Here is a 22,730-nt window from a genome sequence, read left to right as displayed (position 1 = left end):
AAAATAGAATATAAACAGCCAATAGAAATAAAAGGGAGGGGATATGAATAAAGATCCAGGAGAATGAATAGAATAATAAAGGAACAATATGAATAACTTTGTAGCAATAACTGACAACCTAGATGAAATGGAAGAATTATTTGAAAGACCTAAATTAGGAAAAGTAACTCAAGAAGAAATATAAAATCTAAATAATCCTATGTTAAGGAAGCTTAAATCATAATGAAATTCTTCCCCACAAGGAAACTTTACATAGAGGTGGTTTACTGGTGAAATCCTTTTAGAAAATAAAAGATAAGGGTTGTTCCCAATTTATTATATGAAGTCAGCATTACTGTGATAACAAAGACATTTCACAAATGGAAAACTATAGATCAATATCACTCATAAACACAGTAACAAAATCCTCAATAAAATAGTAACAAATCAAGTCCGGCATACACTTAAAAATTTTGCATTACAACCAAGTGGGATATATGCCAGAAAGGCAAGGTTATTTTAACAGATAAAATCAATTAATATATTTTACCACATTAACAGAATAAAGGAAGAAAACCTTATGATCATATCAGTCATTGTAGAAAAGCATCTATTCATGATACAAACTTTTAGTAAACTGAGAATAGGAATAATTTGCTCAACCTTATAATAAAAAGCCTTTACAAAAATGCCACAGCTAACTAACATTATACTTCATAATGTTGAAAGGCTGAATGCTTTTCACTTAAGATTTGTATTCAACATTGTACTGGCAATTCTGGCCAGTGCAGTAAGACAAGGGCTAGAAAATAAAGGCATAAAGATTTTAAAGAGAAAAGTAAAACTCTTTATTCACAGGTGATATGATCATTTACATAGAAAATCCTAAAATATCTATAGGAAAGCAACTAGACCTAAAATGTGTGCAAGATGCAAAGTAAATAAACATAAAAATCAAATTTTTTTTTTACATGAGGAACTATCAGTAACTGAAAATTCAGGGTTTTCTTTTCTTTTCTTTTCTTTTCTTTTTTTTTGAGACAGAGTCTCGCTCTGTCACCCAGACTGGAGTGTGGTGGCATGATCTCGGCTCACTGCAACCTCCGCCTCCCGGGCTCAAGTGATTCTCCTGCCTCAGCCTCCCGAGTAGCTGGAACTACAGGTGCGTGCCACCACACCTGGCTAAACTTTTTTGTATTTTTAGTAGAGACAGAGTTTCATCATGTTGGCCAGGCTTGTCTCGAACTCCTTACCTCAAGTGATCCATCTGCCTTGACCTCCCAAAGTGCTGGGATTCTAGGCATGAACCACTGCACTCAGCTGAAAATTCAATTTTAAAATTTGGTACAAATTTGAAGTTTGGTTACAAATTTTCAGTTATAAGATGAATAAATTCTGGAGATCAAATGCATAGCATGGTAACTATAGTTAATAACATCACATTGTATACTTGAAATTTGCTAAGAGAGTTGATTCTAAGTGTCCTCACCACACACACACACACACACACACACACACACACACACACCCCATAGTAACTATATGACGTGATGGAGATGTTAATTGGCTTGATTGTGGTAATTCACAATTATACATATAGCAAAATAATATGCCATACACCTTAAATATGTACAGTTTTGTTTGTCAATTATGCCCCAATAGTGCTAGAGGGAAAAGAAAATTAAATTAACCTAATAATACCATTTGAAAGATTTTCCAGAAACACGAAACGTGTGTTTACCCCTTCATATTTAACAAGATATGTGCAAGACCTGTACACTGAAGACTATAAAAATATTGTTGATGGAAATTAAAGAAAACCTAATACGTGCAAAGATATACCACCCCTACAAATTTACCCCTACAAATTTAACAGGATATGGGCAAGACCTGTACACTGAAGACTATAAAAATATTGTTGATGGAAATTAAAGAAAACCTAATACCTACGGGGATATACCATCATGTTCATGAAATGAAGGACAATGTGGTTTAGATATTTGTTCTCCCCAAATTGTACTATGGACTACAATCCCAAGCAGAATCCAAGCAGGCTAATTTTTCAGCTATTGACAGCTTACTCTAAAATTTATATGCAAAGGCAGAGAACATAGAATAGCCAAAATAATTTCAAAGAAGAACAAATTTGGAGGTTTCTCTGATTCCAGGCTTATAAACGTCTATCAATGTGGTATTCACATAAGAAGAGATTTACAGGTCAATAGAACAAAGTAGAATTCAGAAATAAACCCATACACGTATGGTCAATTGATTTTCAAAAAAACTGCAGGGCACTTCAATGGGGAAAGGATAATCTTTTCAAGTAATGGGGCTGACTACTTCTACTTATATATTAAAAAAATAGGTTTCTTAAATCTCAACCTTTACCTCATGCTGTACATGAAAATTAACTCAATATAGAACAAAGATCAAAATGTAAAAGCAAAAATCTTAAACTTATGGAAGAAAATATAGGAAAATATCTTAACTTTGTGTTAGGCAAAGATTTCTTATATATTCACCAACAGTACAAAGGAGGTATGTCTAGAATATAGAATATTTAAAAAGAATACTCTTACAACACAGCAATAAGAAGTCAAAGAAACTTGGCTCACGCTAAGGTTGTAATCGCAGCACTTTGGGAGGCTGAGGCGGGCGGATCACAAGGTCAGGAGATCGAGACCATCCTGGTTAACACGGTGAAACCCCGTCTCTACTAAAAATACAAAAAATTAGCCGGGCGTGGTGGTGGGCGCCTGTAGTCCCAGCTACTTGGGAGGCTGAGGCAGGAGAATGGCGTGAGCCTGGGAGGCAGAGCTTGCAGTGAGCCGAGATGGTGCCACTGCACTCCATCCAGCCTGGGCAACAGAGTGATACTCCGTCTAAAAAAAAAAAAAGAAGTCGAACAACCTAATAAAAATGTGTAAAGGTACTTCACCAAAGAAGAAGGTAAATGGCCTCTAAGCACAGGAGAAGATATTTAGCACATTAGTAGCACTGGCAGAAATGTATATTAAAAGTACTATTATTGTGATAATTCTACATACCATTTGATAACTACATACTATTGCGATAACTCTACATGCATACCCATTAGAATAACTAAAATTAAGTGTTGCCAAGAATGTGGAGCTACCGAAACTCTCCGACACAATGAATGGGAATGTAAAATGGTACAAACACTTTGGAAAACACTTTAGCAGTTTCTTAAAAAGTTTGATGCATTTACCGTGTGACCTAGCATTTTCGATATTTACCCAAGAGAAACAAAAACTTATGGGCACTCACAGATTTTAATGTGAATGTTAATGGCGACTTTATTCGTAATGGCCGCAAGCTGAAAACAACCAAATGCCCATAAATAGATGAATGTATAAACAAAACTTTGGTATAGCCATACAATGGAATATTACTTTGGATTAAAAAGGAATAAACTACTGATATGCAAAAGTAGGAATGAATCTCAAAAACATTAGGCTGAGTGAATTTTACTAACGTGGAACAAATGGTTGTGGTGAAAAGATAGTGCAGGGTAGCCTTGCAAGGTAATTTTCAGAAAATTTTAAACAGATGTTTAGTGTTAATAAGCTTTACAGAAAACTTATGCCAAACATAAAGTGTATATGCTACTATATTGTGGCAGAAAAAAGATTTCTGGGGCTACCAGTAGGGAAATATTGATAGGAAAGGGATTCAAGGTAACCTTTTGCGGTGATGGAAATGTTCTGTATCTTGATTGTGGTGGTGAATGCACAGGTATGTACATTTAAAATGGGTGCATGTCATCTTTTCTTTCTTTCTTTACTCTCCCCTTTCTTCTCCTTTGCTTCCTTCTCAGTTTCTTGCTCCTTTTCCCTCAGCTTTTTGAAAATGCCATACTGTACGCTGACTGTGGAGGATTCTACATACATCTACCTTTTTACTCTTAGGTTTTTAATTTTTATATAAAATTTCATTTGTTTTCTTTCTATTTTGCATTAAAGTAACATAAGAATCCCCTATTTAAATAAAAATTCTATTAAAGATTTGTACCAATACAAAAAATAAATATATAAAATGGGTTCATGTTAGGTATATAAATAAGACTTTAATGAATTTTATTTTAAAACAAAGAAGTAAACTTTTAGAAAAATGTTATTTGTTCATATAAAATGATCTGTCATGGAGGATAATTTAGTTTTCCCAAAGTTATACATTTTGCCTTCTGTACTGTCTTGTTGAAAAAAAAAAAGTTTAAACTTTCTAAGGTGACTTTAACATTTTTTTTTGAAATTAGCTTCTGCGTATTGTGCATAAAATTGGCATCAGTTTAGACTTAGCTCTTTCTAATATTGAAATAATAAACAGTATTAATTACTAGGTAAGGGTCAGATAAATGAACAAAAGTTTTGAGAGATAATAAAAACGTTCAAATTGATTGTATATAAGTAGAATAGCAAACAAAATATGTTCTTTGAAGTTTCCTGATGTTATGCAAAGGATGTCAAATATGTAAACAGCAGGCAGGAACATAATGTGTTGGAACTAAGCGTTTCAGAGGAATTGTAATGTCTCATGTACTATTAAAAAGAGAAAGACTATCCTTACTTTCTTGTTCAATATTTCTTGCAACTAAAACAATTGCTTTAATAGCAATTCTGTCCTTCAATAAATGTGAAATACATTTGGCACTGGCAAATCCTCAAGTTTAAAATATCACCATACATAGTAACGTCATTTCAGAGTGCAGATACTAGGAGATGTACTCAGTGTACTCATTGGCATCAAGACTTGTTTTTCTTCTTCCTTTCTTTTCCTTGCAGATATAAATGCAGTACAGGATTCACAGCTAACTCCAAATTAATCTTAGAGAAATTTTATTTTTCAGCAGACTTAAATGTTGCAGCTTTTGTGAATTTTACTAACATGGAACAAATGGTTGTGGTGAAAGGTAGTGTAGGGTAGCCTTGCAAGGTAATTTTCAGAAAATTTTGAACAGATGTTTAGTGTTACTAAGCTTATAGAAACGTATTTAACAGTAGGGTTTCTGATCATAGCTAATATGTTCAACTGTGGCTTTAACAGTAGGTTTTCTGATCATTGCTAATATATTCAACTGTGGCATGTGATATCTCTCCCAGGACTAAATTTAAGATGGTTGAGTCTGTTCCTTTGTGAGTAATATGATCACTGACCTATCATCTATCTGATCATTAATACTATCATAGCTTTGGAATAAGTAAACCAGCTTAACACCTCACGTTTTCTTCTTAGTGCCCCATTAAGCCCTTAGATCCCCGGTTTTAAAAGATTGTAAAAAGGAAAATATGATATATCATGCTATTACATAGTTGTTGCCTTTTAAATTGACAAAATAATAGTTCTCATGTAAGATCTCTTGTGTAATGAGATTGGCTATGCAAATTTGCAGATAAGATGTATCCTAGTGTGAAATTGCTTGCATAATAAAGAGGAGAAGAATTTAAAGAGCTAATGAAAACAGTCTGCAGGCAAAAATAGACACCAAGAATTCTATTCTTCTTGGTGGAAGGGGAGATGAAAAGCACCCTTCTACCCAATTATTACTATAAGGAGAAAAATATTGATAGGGGAGGGGGAGGAGTTAAGCTGTGCAATTTAAAGCCCATTCACCTCCGCTATAGAGTTTGTGGTAAAATGTAAATTGTGCACCAATGGTTGTCATAAATGTATTCTTTCATGAAATCAAATAGATGCTGTTTTCTACATTATTTTGAATATGGAAGGAAGACAGTGGGAGCAAATGGAGTTAGAGAACAAAGGACATTAAAATCTGGGTTATAGTTACATTGGTTCCTCTTAGAACTAGTGAAAATGTTCACACTAATAAAACATCTATGAGGGCAAGCTGGCATTCATTCATTCATTTACTCTTCATTCATTTTCAACACATATGTGATAAACTGTTATTCAATGTACTAGCCAAGTATCAGGCTTTGGTAGCTAACCCAACAGGCATCTCTGCAATCATGCAGCTTTTATGGACTAAGGATAGGAGATACTGAACCAAAGTCACACAGTAACTATAAAATTATCATTGTGATAATTGCTATTAGAAAAGCAGGATACTGTGAAGGCATATAAGAAAGGAAATTAATCTTGATGAGAGCATCAAGAAGGCCTTCCAAAGGAAGTGAATTATATTTATACCTAAAGCACCAATAAGATTAATCCTGATGAAGACAAGCAAAGGAATTTATTTGTTAGGGTTTGACACAATAGCAAATAACAAAAACATCTAAAATAATAATAATGGCTTAAAGAGAAAGAGTTTGTTTTACTCCCACTTCTAAAGCTTAGAGCTAGGCAGTCCAAGGCTGGTAGGGATCACCTCTATGAGGAACCCAGGATTCTTCTATTTTGTTGTTCCATTGTGCAGGTCCTCTAGTTCCAAGGATACTTCATGGCCCAGGACAAATGCTCCAGCTCCAGCTATTTCATTAGCATTCAATCAGCAGGAAGAGGAAGGGGAGGAAGAAGGGCACACCTATTCACTTCAAGAGCACTTCTTATATCCCATGGTTATGACTTAGCCATGTGGTCACACCTAGCTGCAACAGACACTGGACAATGTGGTATTTATTCAAAGAATACATGTGCCCAGCTAAAAGTTGGAGTATTAGTACCATACAAGAATAAAAGAAGGTGTTACTAAAGACAAAAGGAGGAGGGGGGACTGTATATTGGGAGATGACTAATAGTCTTTGCCAGAGAAAACCACATGTGCTAAGGTAAGGTACGAGGCAAGAGGAAGTTTGGTATACTTGAGGGAAAGAGGGAAGCTCAGTGTGTTTAAACATTATGGGCAAAGGAGAGGAATAGTGTTAGTGTTCCTGGACCAAACCAAGGGTCGGGTTGCTTATTCTCATGGTCCAATAACAAGATGCAGACCAACTGGGAAAGAAGAGAATTTACTTCTGTAAACGGGTACAGGGAGAAGGCCAGGGAAAATATTGCCAGACCAACTCAAAATTACAAAGTTTTCCAGAGCTTATATACCTTCTAAGCTGTATGTCTACATGTAAGTGTGCATTCATCTAAAGACATAAGTGATTAACTTCTTCTCATCTATACCTAAGGTCTGAGTCCTGAAGACCTTCCTCTGGAGCTTCAGTAAATTTACTCAATCTAGATGGATCCAGGTGCCAGGGGTGATTACGCTTATCTTGTCTCCTGCTAAATCATGAAGATTTGGGAGTTCCTTTAGACCTCAATAAAACTTGTTTGTGGAGGTCTGGGGAGTTCCTTCAGACCCCCAGTAAAACCTGTTTAATACTAAACGGGTTCTGTTAAGAATTCCTTTGTTATTTCATCATGCTTCAAGGCCCTGGAAAGGCCTAGGCAAAACTCTTGGTGGGCTTTCGTTACATTCCAGCCTTCGTATAAGGGCACTGGCTCTATCAGCTTTAAATATTTAATTTAACCACTCAGTCAGTGCTGAAACAGTTGTCATGGAGGCCTTCCTGTTCAGCTGTTAGTGAGACCTGGCCTGCCAGATTAGTGGTGGGATACAGAGGGAGGTAGGGGCAGATCATGCATAGCCTTTTGGATCATATTAAGAATTTTGAACTTTATCAGAAGAACATGAAAAGCTATTGAAGGTTTTAAGGAAGAGGAAAACATGATCACATTCTCATATGAAAAAACATTTCTCTGATCACTGTGAACAGGTTAAAGACAACATTGGCAATACTTAGAAAGTTTAGGCCAGGCACGGTGGCCCATGCTTGTAATCTCAGCACATTGGGAGGCCAAGGCAGGTGGATCACCTGAAGTCAGGAGTTCAAGACCAGCTTGGCCAACATGGTGAAACCCCATCTCTACTAAAAAAATACAAAAAATTAGGTGTGATGGTGGGCACCTCTAATCCCAGCTACTTGGGAGGCTGAGGCAGGAGAATCACTTGAACCTGGGAGGTGGAGGCTGCAGTGAGCAGAGATTGTGCCACTGCACTGCAGCCTGGACAACAGAGTGAGACTCCACCTCAAAAAAAAAAAAAAAAAAGAAAAAGAAAAAGAAAGATAAAGGTAGGCATACTCTTTGGTGTATACAATTTCTCATTTATGAATTTATCGTGAGAAAGTCATCAGGCAAGTAGAGTAAGTATTACAAAGTCTGGAAGTACACCCACTGAATGTGGGACCGAGGCTAGGAAAGCTTCACTCTTTCATGTATAATTTTTCATTATGAATGATTTGTTTTACAATAAGCATGTATTACTTTAAATTTCATTGAAAAATCTATAAAGCAATTTTACTTTAGAACTAAACAAAGGCAAAAAGGCGTGTGGCAATGCTATAAAGTAGTCTAGATTGCTAACTCATTCCAGATTGTTGCCTTTTGCTTTGATTGCCATCTCTGATATTGCCTCTTTCCTGGATTCTGCCTTTTGGCCTGGTCCCTTTGCATTGACAATCTTGAACATTTGTTGTCCCCTTGAAGAGTTCTAGTAATTAAGGAGGTGGCTTCCATGGTGTGGTAGAAAGACAATAGGACCTAGATTTAGAGGGCTTGGATTATAATCTGGACTGATTTGTAGTATGATCTTGCAAATCGAGTAACATTTTGAGCATCAGTTTTTTTCACTTGTAAAATAGGGATAATTCTTACTCTATTTTATTGGGCTATTCTCTATCTGAAAGCATTTTATAAATTATGAAGCACCGTTATATATAGTTGTCATATAATTTACACATACACACATGCACACACACAGACACACAAACACACACGAACACACACTGCCTCACAGGGAAATCCCATTTCTTCAATGTTAGACTAATATAATTATTCTCAAAAGTGTTTTTCTTTGATTGAGCTCAAGTTTGTCTCCCTACAGTATATTATTGTGACTGTTTTTCAATTTGCAACAACATAGAATTGGTCCAGTCTTTCTTTATTACCGTGTAATAACCAAGAAAGCTAATGGGTTCAAACTGTATAGATTTAGGTCTATTTTTTTTTATAGTAGAATTTTCACATCTTTCTGGAACTTCAGGAACAGAGTTTGTTCTCCAGTAAAAAGTTTGAACAGCATTTGGAATAAATGAAACCATCTGAGGTTAAGTGTGTTCCGCTGGCTTCTTCCCATATATAATTGAAGATTATATGTAGCTTGATAAAATATTTTCCTTCAAATCTTTAACTGTAAAGAAATGAAGTTAAAAATTATGGTTTTACACAGCCAATTTATATGCTGTCTTTAGGGGGCAGTGCTAAACCACTGATAAGTTTCTTCATTTCTGCAAAGCTACTTGTAATAGTTAATATAAAATAAAGCTAAAATGGCAATCTTGATATTTGTGATACAATTATACACACCCCTTAATATTAGTAAAATTTTCTAGGTAGTCAAATGAAAATAATAATTTGAAGCTCATTTATTCAGTGATTCATTCAATAAATATTTATTGTTTCATTATGCACAACACATTGTAGGAGATACAATGTGAATAAGGCAATGTTTTCTTTCAAATAACTTACTTCACAAGGGTAAATAAGCCACACTTGTGTCTGTGTAGTATATTTGCACAAGCACACTGTGTGTGTGTACACAACTCTTTTATGGTAAAAAATAAAATAGCAGTACTTATTGATTTTTTATGTGCCAGTCTCTGTCAAGCAATTAATTTGATCTTCATACAGCCCTGCAAGTGGAAATGATTACACTATTTTTTCAGATAGGGAAACTAAGGATTAATAAGATTATGTGATTTGCTCAAAATCACAAAGCTTGGAAGTGGTAGAGCTAGGATTTAAACATATATCTGTTTGAGTTAAAAGCCAATGCTCTTTGCCACTATAGCATCTATCAACTCAAGGTGAATGTGAAATACCAAATGCAAACATTTGCACAAAGAGAGACAAGCAGAAGAACATGATATCATGCATGCTTGTGGGAAATCTGGAAAATTTTAGGTAAGGGATGAAATCTGAACTCTATTTTGAATCAGTGGGATTATAAGAAAATAATAAACATGATAGTTAATACTTATTGAAGCTGTATGTGTCAGGCACTTTATATTTATTACCTCATTTAGTCATCAGGAAAAAGCCCTGAGAGAGGTTCCACTGTATTGTTTTCCATTGCATAGATAAGGCAAGAGAGGCTGACAATGGTCTTATCTGCTGAAAATCATACGGCTAGTGAGGCGGGTATTTGGAACTTGAATTCAGGACTGTCTAATTTTAGAGCCCAAGCCCTTAACCACTACAATACGCTGTGCAGACAAGTAAGGTGAAAGAAAGAATAAAAGCATAGAGCATGATTAGGCAAGGGTAAACAATTCCACCTGGTTATAATCTGAGGTGAGTATAGTGAAAAAGTAAAAGGGCTAAAAAATCATTTGACTATAGAACTCTGAAGCCAGATTAAGGAATTTGGATATCATTTGCTGTGAAATGGGAAGTAATTGGAGCTTTATGAGCAGGGAAGAGAGATAAGCTTTTTTTTTTTTTTTTTTTTTTTTTGAGGGAGGAGAAAGAGATAGAGGAAGTTCCCTGTGTGATTGGATTAAATCATTGTAGCACCATTAACAAAATAGAAAAGAATGGATTAATCTAAAATGTTGATAATTCTTGGCCAACTATGAGGTGGTTTATAGTATGTGCCGCATCAATGTTGATGGTCAAACTGTTAGCTGATCATGAGCTGGTAAAGGAGATACCTTTTTGATCATTTTATTTATTCCTGTGAACAACTTTATCATATATATATATATACTCTTTCAGATTAAGATTTTAAATTTCCCAAGATTTTTTATTTTACTCAAAGGATCTGTAGGGTCAAAAATCCCTGTGATAATCACCTTCTATTATTGATTTGAGAAGTGTGTATTTATGAAAGCATGGGCTGCTATGTATCAAATTGCAGAAATTTTCACTCCCTGTCACAGAAGGCAAAATGCTCTCAGGACTTTACTCGTGTAACAGAAACGTATTCACCAAATATACCTCTTTTATTTAAACTGCAATTATTTACATCAGTGTGGTTTTTCAGTATATTGTCTTCCACAGGTTATTGTACCAAAGGAGTGGTCACAGAATGTAGTGGTGAGGGGAGAGTAGGTTTTGCAGCCCCCTAGTCTGGGTTAGAATCCTTTTTCTGCCACTTGCCAGCTTCGTGACCTTGGGTTTTACTTGGCCTCTCTGTCCCTTAGTTTCCTCATTTATAAAGTGAGAGGAAAAATATTTGCCTCAAATGGCTGTTGTGTGAATTAAAATAGTTAACAGACAATAGGCCAGTGATACTCCAAGTCACATAGTAAGTTCTCAGTCTAACAGTTGTTATTATTATTGTATTTTATAGACAGCAACTGATTGGGGGACAACTTAATTTCATTGCTTCTTAGTTACTGACAAGTGATCAAGGGGAAGTTAAAATGTGAATGCAGAAAACAAATTCTTTTAAATAGGAGGAAAAATAAAATCTTATATTCTATTTTTAAAAGGAACAATTTTGGGGGGAGGATGCTATTTACAATCCAATATGTAGAATATATTTACTTGCTTTAGTAATCATGATCTATCAATGTTGTGCTGAACGCTACATTCAGAGGACCTTTAGACAATTTAGTGTATTTCTTTTTATTTATGCATATACATCTTTTTTTTTAAATTGAGTCTGCTAAGTATTCAGCAGGCTCTTAGAGTGAAGTTTTTCCTCAGTTTCTGCAAATTTTCATGCTTTATTTCTTTGACCCTCCCATCTCTACTCTTAATTTTTGGAGCTCCTTTTGTTCAGATGTTAGAGGTCTTGGTTTGACCCCTAGTTTTCTCCACTTTTAAATTCTGTTCATCTTTTGGGAAATTTTCTCAGATTTTTCTTACTCTTGTATTGGATTTTATGTATTTTGTAACTTTCTGTTCTTGTTTCATGGCTATAAATATCTTCTCTCTGAGGATACTATTTATAACTTTTTTCTCTATATTTATTTTGGTGTCTGTTAAGAGGTTTTTCTCAAATATATGATTCTTGTGAGTGGAACTTGTTGAGAGGTTGGCTTCACAGTAGAGATTGATACATAGATCCCACCATTTTCCTGCTTATTTATAGACCTTTTTTCTTAGGAGGTCTGTTTCTACAGGGAGGAGTATTCTAGTTGTTTATCTGGGAATATAAACCGTGCTGCCATGTTGTCTAATGCAAATATGGTAAGGCACGGGGTAGGTTATGAATCTTCATTACTATATAGATATTAATTCTCTTGTTTTTGGAGACTCAGTATATCTGTAGTCTTAGAATTCATAATCCTTTTGCTTCAACTTCTTCAAAAATTAAACCTCTAATTTCTTGCCAGTGGTAAAGATTTAGTTTCCTGGCTGGGTGAAAAGGAGATGGGTCTAGGGGTATAATTCTTTCTGATACTGAGTTTCAGTCTGTTTCTGCCCCACCTACACTTACACCTTCACAGGTAGCCAGTCCCTCCAATTCTTTCCACATGAAGGTTCTTTGCTTTCAGTGTTCTCATGTTTGCTAAGTCAGGTAATACCCATCTGTTATCCAAAAGTTACTCAACATTATCCAGAAGTTTTCTTAATATTGTCTGTTCATCTCTCCTGTCATCCTTATTTTTATGGTGTAAACATTTTTATAAATGTTCTACCATCATTTTAGTGAGATTTGGGAGATAACGAAGGAAAATATATGTGCTAAATATGGAAGTCTCATTATGAATTTTAAAACTGTTACTCCTGTTATATGTATGATATGAAAGTTTATAAAGTTTTATTTCAGTGGCATTCTGAACAAACTGGTTTATCAGGAGTTCCCATTTCAATAAAATATTTTCCTGTTAGTGCCCTAACTGCATTTTTCCTTAATTTTATGCCTAAACCTAAATTCTTGATAAACCATAAGATTTTTCTCATTTGTTGCTATTCAAATATTTTATTAGGCCATTATCATGTTCTATTCTTCATTATGAACTTCATATATTATTTTATAAGTCTTTCACACCTAGTTTTTTTCACTTTTAACTTAAGTTGGACTATACATATTTTTATCTCAGGCACAGGGCACAGCCATGTAACTGTGGCTAAAAGTGAGCTGACTTGTTTGCCGAGATATACCACTGTCATTTATAGAATTTAATTGATGTTAAGATATCTAAATATCATTGATATAATATATTGGTATGATATAAATTTAATTTCAGAGAACCTCATCTACAATCAATTTGTCACCAGGAGAAGTGGAAGAAGAGGATGATGATGAAAATACGTGTGGGCCATCAGGACTTTGGGAAGCATTAACTCCGTGTAATGGATGTAGGAACCTTGGCTTCCCCATGCTTGCCCAGGTAAAAGTTTGCTTTTATTAAGGTACAATAAAACAAAAATGGTTGCCTATGTTTTTAAGATAAAATCTCCCTCCCCTTCGAAAATCAAATTAGGATCTTGTTCACTTTGTGATTTTGGATCTTGTGGTTTTTCTCAAAGTGTCAAGTAAAATGTGCATATAACTTGGTGTGCATATGTGTACATATGCGAAGACATAATTTATGTAAAAAATTAGTATTATTTAGTTTGGTTATAATGCAGAAAAGTTATCTTGTTTATGAGGTTTTAATATTTTGAATCCAGAAATATATCAGTTTAAAGAATGCTATTTTTAAAAAGTAAAAGTTGTCTACAGATATAAGGAAACATATTATGGCTGTTTAAAAGCATAGCCAGTGATTATATTTTTCACATCACAATGGAGCATTGTAGAATAATGGGAATGTGTACTTCTGGAGGTTTTGGAATAAAATCCAAAAATGAAACCAGAACACTAAAATATTGACTATTAGTTTCAAGTCATTTCACTATCATTAAGACTACTTTAAATCTGTAGTATCACCTTCAGGTTCCTGTTGTGGGTTGTGAACCATACACTCTTAGAGGAGTTTCAGAAATGACTAAAATATTCCAGAGATAGGAAATTTGAAGCCATGGTGAAAATATCTCTGCACAATAAGCAAAGAACTTAATATGAAAGGGTATAATGTTAAGAGGTTAATTACATAGAACGTGGGTGGAAAAAGCAGTCCAGGACAGAAGATAAATCACAGTACTTATCCAGAAAAGTGTTACATCTCAAAGATATTTTCCCTTCTGTCACGACAAATACGAAACAATTATGTCTAAGAAACCATCACGTCTTCCACATGTCTGTATCATAATTTGATCATAGCCCCTCAAATTTCAATATTAATTTGTTGTAGAAAGCTAAGTAGGATATTCAAATCAGTATATAGTACTTAAAAAATCTCTTCATAGGACTTTAAGACAGTTTACTGTAACCTTTACAGAATTGTTGTAAATACATACTAAACTGTGAGCTCCATAAAGGTAGAGATTCAACCTTTTGATGCTCAGCATCTGCAGTCTAACGCGTAGTTCCTGGCAAATCAGAAGAATGGGTTCGATGTGGTATCTCACACCTGTAATCTCAGCACTGTGGGAGGCCGAGGAGGGTGGATTGCTTGAGCCCAGAAGTTCAAGACCAGCCTGGGCAACATAGTGAGACCTTGTCTCTACAAAAAATACAAAAATAAGCCAGGTGTGGTAGTACACACCCATAGCCCTAGCTACTCAGGAGGCTGAGATGGGAGGTTGAGGCTGCATTGAGCTGTGATCATACCACTGCATTCCAGCCTGGGTTATGATAGAGTGAGACTCTGTCTCAAAAAAAAAAAAAAAAAAAGAAAGAAAGAAAGGAAGAGAAAAAAATGTCTTCTTTATCAAGCAAAATCTGATGGATGTAAAACAAAAAAAAATAATTGGAATGAAGTAATAGTTGAATGAATCTCAGTGAACAAATGTGTATATTCTAGGGTGTCATGTCTTCACTTAAAGTTTTTACATATAGTTTTTTACCTCATATCTACATGGGTAAAGGGAAAGAAAATTAACAAGCATAAGTTGTATTTTATTAGCTTACCCTTAACTGCTTAGCAGTTTATCAATAATTAAATGTTTTAACCTATTTTCCCCTCATAAAACTGCATTTGTAAAAATACATTTCCTAATCATTACTTTGCCTTATATCTTAAAAATAATTACTGAAATAAAATAATCAGGGTATTTACTATATTAGCCAGATGACTGCAAATCAAAAAGCTGTCAGTAATATGATTGTATCTGATTTTCTACCACCTTACTAACATTTGCTTTTTTCTAAATTTGATTTTATTATTTTTTAGGCTTGGTAGTACCTTGCTTTTGGTCTACAATTTTTAATATTAGGTTTGCTTTACCTTTGGCCATTTCCTTGGTGAAGACTGGTATTGTTCAATAAGTTTATTAATTCCTCAGATGTTCTAGTTACATTTACCACAAAATCTTTCCCAGTCTGCAGCTTTTCTTTTTGTCTTAATTTGTATGTGTACAAGTGCATCATGTAATTTAAAAAAACTATCCAGTTGATTAAGCTTCTCAATCCTATTTTTCATTTAATTCATCTTATTTAGAACTCCTTTTAACATAAATTTCAATTATGGCTCTATATTATTTTTTGCTTGTTGATATCTAGTTTTCCTATGACTTTCCATTGAACAATAACTCATATTCCTCTCGTTTTTATCCTTTTGTTTTGGTTTTACTTCTGAAGGCTTGTTTATTTCTGCCTTCCTATTTTTTAAACCACATGACTCAGTGTTGGTATTATCCATTATTAAATTAAAACTAGCAGCTGACTTGATTGCTTGCTTTATAAAATCTGTATTTTGTAAGTACTATGTTGAGTTTAAAAAGTATCTCTATTGGGATTTTAATTTTTACTGCATTAAATCTATAAATGTACTTGAGATACAGGTTTTGGGTGTTTTTTTTTAACTGAATTTAATCTAACAAACCAGCAATAAGACTATTTTACTAATGTTTCTCTCACTATAAATTTTTCTTTTTTTTTCAGATGGAGTCTCGCTCTGTTTCCCAGGCTGGAGTGCAGTGGTACGATCTTGGATCACTGCAACCTCTGCCTCCCTGGTTCAAGCGATTCTCCTGCCTCAGCTTCCTGAGTAGCTGGGATTACAGGGGTGCGCCACTATGCTTGGCTAATTTTTGTGTTTTTAGTAGAGACGGCATTTCACAATATTGGCCAATCTCATCTCAAACTCCTGGCCTCAAGTGATCTGCCCGCCTCGGCTTCCCAAAGTGCTGGTATTACAGGCGTGAGCCACTGCACCCAGCCTCTCACTATAAATTCTTAAGAATGTGTGTGTGTGTGTGTCTGTGAATATTATTGTTTAAGGGCTATCCTTTAGCATTTATATTTGTGTGTGTATATGTGTGTGTATATATATATATACACATGTAAACATGTTTTATGTATATATAACATGTTTATATATATACATTTTCATTGCAAAATATATTAAAGAATTTTTGAAGTTTTGCAATTAAAAATATAATATGTATAGCATATTTTTGTGTATATATAGTATATTTGTACATATATATAGTATATACACATACACACATACACAATTTGCAACATTTTTTAATTCATCTGGTTTTTTAGTTTATTACCTAGGATTCAACCATTCTCAACCATTCACAAATGGTAATTTTTAAATCTTTTTCTGTTATTATCAGTATCTATTATCTAAATTATCTCTTAAACTTTGATTACAAGAGATGAGGTAACAGGATATGTATTGTTTTAGAATTTTAAGAAAACTGTGACCTAGGAACAGGATCTGATAGTAATAAGCATCAGGATTTGTAATCAGAAGCAGATTGAAATATTTACCAAAGGAATATACAATTTAAAAAGAGATTGAGTCAGATTAAGATTTAGAGAAAAAATACAAAATGTGCAGTGCTTTTAACAATGATCCCTTCTATGATTATCAAGGGACTACAATGTGGTAAGCATGCTGACAGTCCTTGAATATAAAGATAAAGTTGGTCTCTGTTAAGAGTTTGCAATATGGTCATTTTAAAGCTTCTTAGGGGGTCTCCAGTATCATATGATACTGGGCTACGTACCACATGAAAAACAAAAATTGTTTTATTTTTAAATTTTTTCATTTGAAATTATTTGCTGAAAAGTGATTTATGGTTAGATGTGATTTCTCAGTAATGTAACCTTGAAATTCGCAAAGCTAGAACATCTAACCTGTGAAATGTTTTTCATATTTTGAAACCATTTTTTTCAGGTCTGAAGCACTTTTGGAGGCCATTAAAAATCATTAAGTCGTAAGCGCTGTGAGGGTCTACTGGTAAACTGCTTCCTTACAATATATACAGGGGCCTTTGGGATCTGTACAATTAGTACAGTACTATGTAAAATTTTATATCCCCAGATTTGTTTGATTGGAATAAATTATATTTCACATTTATAGCCCTTAATTGGATCCAGCAAACATGTATCAAATATCTTTTATATTCAAAGCACAGTGCTTGTCAGAATCATGAGTGTTATGGAAACAATACAGACATAATTGGGGGCCAGGTTACCTATACATTCTGGTTCTCAAACCATGTGATGTATTACTTTAGACTCGAGCAGACTTTTTACTTGCAAAATTAGAATATTGGCTAATCCCATGGATGTGGATCTTACAATTCTAAAATGATCTAATTTCCAGTTTTTGTCCAGATTATGAATTGATCCTATATTACATTTTATTTTTCTATCTCCAAGAATACTAAAATTGGAGAGAACCAGGTAAAAGATGAGTGCTTTGCAATTATCTTTCCATTGTAACTAGATTGAAATTTCTACAAATTCATGAAAATTTAGAATTCTAAATAGCGTCAGGGGATTAAAATTCTTGGAAGATACTGAGAAGATTTACTGTAAATAGAGCTTTTATGGGACAATTGCAAAGCAGTTAATTAAGATTTAAGAAAGGAAATCAAGAATGAAGAGACTGGGAAAATTAAGCCCTTTCTGGAAAGTATGATTAAACTCAGAATTTGTTTCTCAACACTACCATTTACACAGTGCCTACTATGTTCCAGATATTATACATGTATGGTCTCAAGGTGACCATTTAAAGAAACAATCTACTGAAACTCACAGTTAATGTGTGGCAATGCTGTGATTCAAACCTGGAGAGAGAGAGGAGAGAGAGAGAGAGTCTGTGTGTGTGTATTCCTGGGTTCTCATTTTATATTTTGGAAAACAGTTTTAGAATAATTCTCCTAATGTAGGATCATATCTGAGAGTAATCTTCAACATTTTATTCTGTCATCTATTAATTTATTTAAAAAATATAAAGTTAAGGGAAAGTTAAAGATAGTTTTCAGAGCCTGATCATAAATTGCCATTAGTTTTATTGCTACCCTTCCTGTCAATAGAGCATATGTTATTAGAGCAGATAATTTGAGTTGATGGATTTTATTATGGTGAATCACATTGTTCCCCTCCACAGTCTTAGGTGAGATGTCCACCTCTGCACCATGTGTAGTACTGGGCTTTGAGGTTATTACTGCAGAGTCAATCCAGCTAGGTAGAGACCCTCTGGCTTCCATCCCATTCACGCATGTGGCCTCATCCTGCAGAGTTGAGATAACTGACTCCCAATGCTGAGTAGCAGAGAGTCAGCCTTTGAGTAGCAGAGAGATACTGTCAATGCAACAGCCTTCTCAGTATCTCTCTGCTCCTGTAGCCACCACATTCATACTGCTCTCTAGGGAGAGGCCAGTAGCACTTACTGATATGCTTGAAGTACCCTTTTAGGACAAGAATGTGCATGCAGCCCTTGCTATAACAAGATTAAGACATGGAAGCACCCACTAATAGCCATGCTGGCTATACTTCCTCCTGGACCTCTGAAGGCTGCTTTTGCCAGTGCTGTGTTTCTCTCCTGAGTCTGCAGACTTGGTTGCAGCCACATCCATGGTACCTGTGGTGGTGCTTACTGTCATCACTACTGCTGTTGCTACCCTGCCCCTTCATCAGGCACTATAGGTTTTATGACTGCAGGGGTGTGTGAACTCTTGAACGTAGTATATGTGGGAGGTATGTTGGATTCATATCTCTATTGTATAATCACAATAGGTGGACCCAAACATTTCAGCATTCATGTGAAGTCTACTGATTCTGAATTGCTCCTTCTCTTCACAAAACTTCATGGCATATCCCTAGGGAGAGAACAAATAAGCAAAGACAGTGAGACCAGCAAGATCTCCTTTCTCTTCCTATAGGTAAACAACAAAAAGAAATTATTGCACAAGTACACAAACATGTTGTGTTGCCACCAATGTATATAAGTGGCAATTGCAGGGAGACACGTCCTACAACATATCAGCCTGCCTAGGTCATAGTATGTGTTTCAGAATAGACTGGTCAGGATGCTTTGGACAGCATTACAACATTGATATAAAATGAACAGCTGTGGATATAAAATGAAGAGTTGCTGACAGCTAAGAAATCTCTGAAATTCAGGCTTGGAGAACCCTGGAGAAGCACTAGGAACCTCCTCAATGTACCATGGCCTCCAAATGGAAGCTCATTTGGCCTTCAGACCTTCCAAATGCAATGCATTTCCCAGGTGAGCTGCAGCACCAAAGGCTTTACAGGACCTGTACCTGCTCTCCCCCAAAGCATCCAGGCCCCATCTAGTCTCTGCATAGACTCACCACTGGGCTCCTCTGCACTTCCTCCAACACAGATGAGTCCAATGTGTTCCCAGCTAGGATAGCCCTGGTATCACTGTAAGCCTCCACTGGTGGTCTCAGGATGTAAACAAGGTTTTCCCAGTGAACAAAAAGGTCTTCACTTGCATCCGATGGAGGACACAGCTGAAGATAAAAAGAGCGGCCCGTGGCAAGCTTCAGGTGGAGCTGTTTTTTTACGCTGTTGTGGATGGTTATTTTCACAAACATCAAGGGAAGCAGCCTGGTTAGTTCTAAGATCTCTGCAGGCGGACTTTCTCTTTTCTGGGTGGCAGGACCACACCTGGCATTGTCACAGACAGCAGCTGGTCGGGCCAGCAGCATGACATCAGGTAGTGTGAGGCAGGGGCTGGTGCGAACGATGCCCATTGTTACCATTCGGGCACGGTTGTGCACGTCAATCACTTCTCCTCTTTTGCTGATCTGGATAAAGTCGCTCTCAAACATGGGTGCATACCTGAATATAGTATACTCGCCTTTGTACAGTTGCCGCTGCAGCTTCCCCATGGAGGTGTTAAACATGCCCATTGCGGGGCTGCTTTGGGCCGTGTAATACGGTAGCATACAGCAGTCCTCCATGTCTTCCTTTAAATCAAGACAGTTCCCAGCAGCTGCTCCACACCTTCCTTAACATGCTTTAGCGGGCATCCTGTTTCCTTGGCTACTCTGGCAGGTGGGCCAGCAGTCGTGTTCTGCAGGCTTTCTTTTTTGTCCCCAAGTGACTGAGAACAGGGAGGGTGGGGTATTGATTACCAACCGCTCAATGCCAGAGACAGTCAGTCCCCTGGATCCAGACTGTGCCCTGCTTAGTGCATGGAGCTGTCAGGAGCACAGGTGTTGGGGCCCTCGTGGATGTCCGGGCACACAGGTGTCAGTGCTCATTCGGGAGGGACCTCCATTTGAGCCTGATATTCCACTTCACAACAGCCTTTGCTCTTTGATTCCACAACCTTAACTGGCAATCCCACTGCTCTTCTTCCCAACCTGAACCATCCACTGCTGCTAAACCACCCCGCAGGACCACTTTTATCCTCCCCTACCCATTGTGACCTGCCCCATCACACACCCCTTTGTCTCTGTCACCCAGTAGTCCCTGCCTCAGAGCAGGGGCACCGCCCTCTCCACCCCACCCTCAGCCCCACCGCCCTCCACAGCTCAGCAGACCACTACCCCGCCACCAACCTACCATCTAGGGACCTTAATGCATTCTGGCAAATTGCTTTCAAAAGGGTTAGAGGTAAATTTTCTGTGCAAGGCAAGAGTTTAATATACATTCTCTGTATACTCATTTATCCAGCTCCTCTAGTTGTAGACATTTATTTTAAAGAGAGAATTGGATAAATTGGTAAACAGATTGGTACAGGATGTTTATCAATGTTTGTTGTAGAGTAAAAAATTATAAACAGCATTAGTGTCTTACAATAGGGGATTGCTTAAATAAATTATGGAGCTTCTGTGACGGGACAGTCTGCAGCCCTAAAAATGATTACGTAGTTTTCCTATTTATTGACATGAAAAGATATCCCTGACCTTTTTTTTTCTTAAAGAATAAGAGAAAAACTGATTTCAAACTCATAGTATAGGTGAGATTCAATTTATGTAAGACCACGTGTATGTGTTTGTGGATATGGAATTATGTTCAGTGAAATGTTTAAAGTGCTTAGGTATAATTTTCATTTTCTTTTTAACTTCTATTTTTATTAGGAAATTTATTTCTGTTACCAGGGGAAATAACTATTTTATTGGCAATGTATTTTTTTTTTTCTGTTTCTATAGCCATGATAAATTTTATGTTTTGACTCACCCTCAAACTGTTGATGCAATTTTTGAGTTTTACCTAGACATTCATACCCTGGCTATGGAATGAAAAGAGCCTTAAACATCACATTTATGCTCTATTCTTTACCATCAGATTGTATTGAGAAAAAAAAAAGCTGTAAAGAATTTTGCTAGGTATTGCAAATATTTTCAATTCAATAAGATTATAATATCTTTATTGAAATGACAGTACACATGATAACCCATGTGAACACAAACACACACACACACACAGAGCCATAGCCATAGTTGAGTCTTTTTTTTTTTTTTTTTTTTTTTTTTTGAGATGGAGTCTCACTCTGTCACCCGGGCTGGAATCAGTGGCGTGATCTTGGCTCACTGCAACCTCCGCCTCCTGGGTTCAAGTGATTCTCCTGCATCAGCTTTCCTAGTAGCTGGGACTACAGGCGTGTGCCACCACGCCCGGCTAATTTGTATTTTTAGTAGAGATGGGGTTTCACCATATTGCTCAGGCTGGTCTCGAACTCCTGACCTCGTGATTCGCCCGCCTTGGCCCCCCAAGTGCTGGGATTACAGGTGTGAGCCACCGTGCCCAGCCCACTTGAGTCTTTAGTTGCATAAGTCAATGCAAACATAATTTCTTCCTTTCATATTGAAATGTTTGATTATTTTGGATACTTGGAGTATTTTTATTTTATTTATTGAGATGCCTATTCACATATCAATAGCACTTTTTACTGCCCTTCCTAAAGTCTTTATATCTTAACTTCCACTTCAAGTCTATGTTACTTATCTTGTAATTGGCAAAACCAAGAAACCAAATACACATTTAGTAAAATAACGTTTTAAAAGTGTCCAAGTGGTTCTGATGTTTTTCATAAGGGATAACAGGATTGGTAGTATTGGACACAGCAAAATTTAATTTAAGTGCCTTTTTTTTTTTTTTTTACTGATTTTCTTAAAAGTACTTTTTTGCTATACACATATATGACAAGATATTTGTCTTAGAGTTCCATTAGAGCGCTGGTCTCCAAGGAAGCCAGAAACTACATTACTTATAGAGCCTATAGATGTTTGGATTTTCCACACCAGTCAGTAGACTGACAACGGTGGAACCTCTTTCATTTGGCTTGATAACCATCCTATGTAGCATTCTGGCAAATACCTATTTTTATGAATTTGATGGGGTTTGTCTGAAATTCCTCTAGCTGTTTAGAAAACTACCTTTTTAGCATTTGCCTCAAGACTTGAGAAGCTCAGATAGCTAAATAAAAAACTACCTGAACTTGAGATTAAGAAATTCCTTTTATGAAAATGCAGCAGCTTTCTGTGTGGTTGCT

At 36.0% G+C, this 22,730-nt stretch overlaps 2 protein-coding genes across 23 annotated transcripts in view; one reads left to right on the top strand and one right to left on the bottom strand.

The window, feature by feature from the left end:
- Positions 1–22,730, top strand: part of ANKS1B (ankyrin repeat and sterile alpha motif domain containing 1B) — a 1,250,151-nt gene that overhangs the window by 316,572 nt on the left and 910,849 nt on the right. For 21 of the 22 annotated variants that reach the window (XM_006719514.5, XM_006719507.5, NM_152788.4 and 18 more), the window contains one exon: positions 13,155–13,298. In XM_006719514.5, coding sequence (XP_006719577.1) covers positions 13,155–13,298 — 144 coding nt within the window. Of the gene's footprint in view, positions 1–1,125; positions 1,142–13,154; positions 13,299–22,730 lie in introns of those variants that run through there. The other variant, XM_047429167.1, reaches the window with a different exon arrangement.
- On the bottom strand, positions 18,251–20,612 carry GARIN6 (golgi associated RAB2 interactor family member 6). The gene is made up of 2 exons (NM_153364.4): positions 19,576–20,612; positions 18,251–19,077 (listed from the first exon to the last, which is right to left on the bottom strand). The coding sequence occupies exons 1-2, from the start codon at positions 20,188–20,190 to the stop codon at positions 18,967–18,969; spliced, it is 726 nt and encodes a 241-aa protein (NP_699195.1). The 5' UTR covers positions 20,191–20,612; the 3' UTR covers positions 18,251–18,966.

The sequence above is a fragment of the Homo sapiens genome, chromosome 12 (genome assembly GCF_000001405.40).
Source record: "Homo sapiens chromosome 12, GRCh38.p14 Primary Assembly".
In the NCBI taxonomy this organism is placed as follows: Eukaryota; Metazoa; Chordata; class Mammalia; order Primates; family Hominidae; genus Homo; species Homo sapiens.
The sequence above is the reverse complement of the archived record's forward strand: the minus strand, read 5'-3'. Positions and strand labels throughout refer to the sequence as shown.

Excerpts from the sequence above, each read along its gene's own strand:
- GARIN6 (NM_153364.4), bottom strand. The coding sequence starts at position 20,190 with ATGGAGGACTGCTGTATGCTACCGTATTACACGGCCCAAAGCAGCCCC. Across the intron at positions 19,078-19,575 it reads AAGTGCAGAGGAGCCCAGTG|GGATATGCCATGAAGTTTTG; the intron begins GTGAGTCTATGC and ends TTCTCTCCCTAG.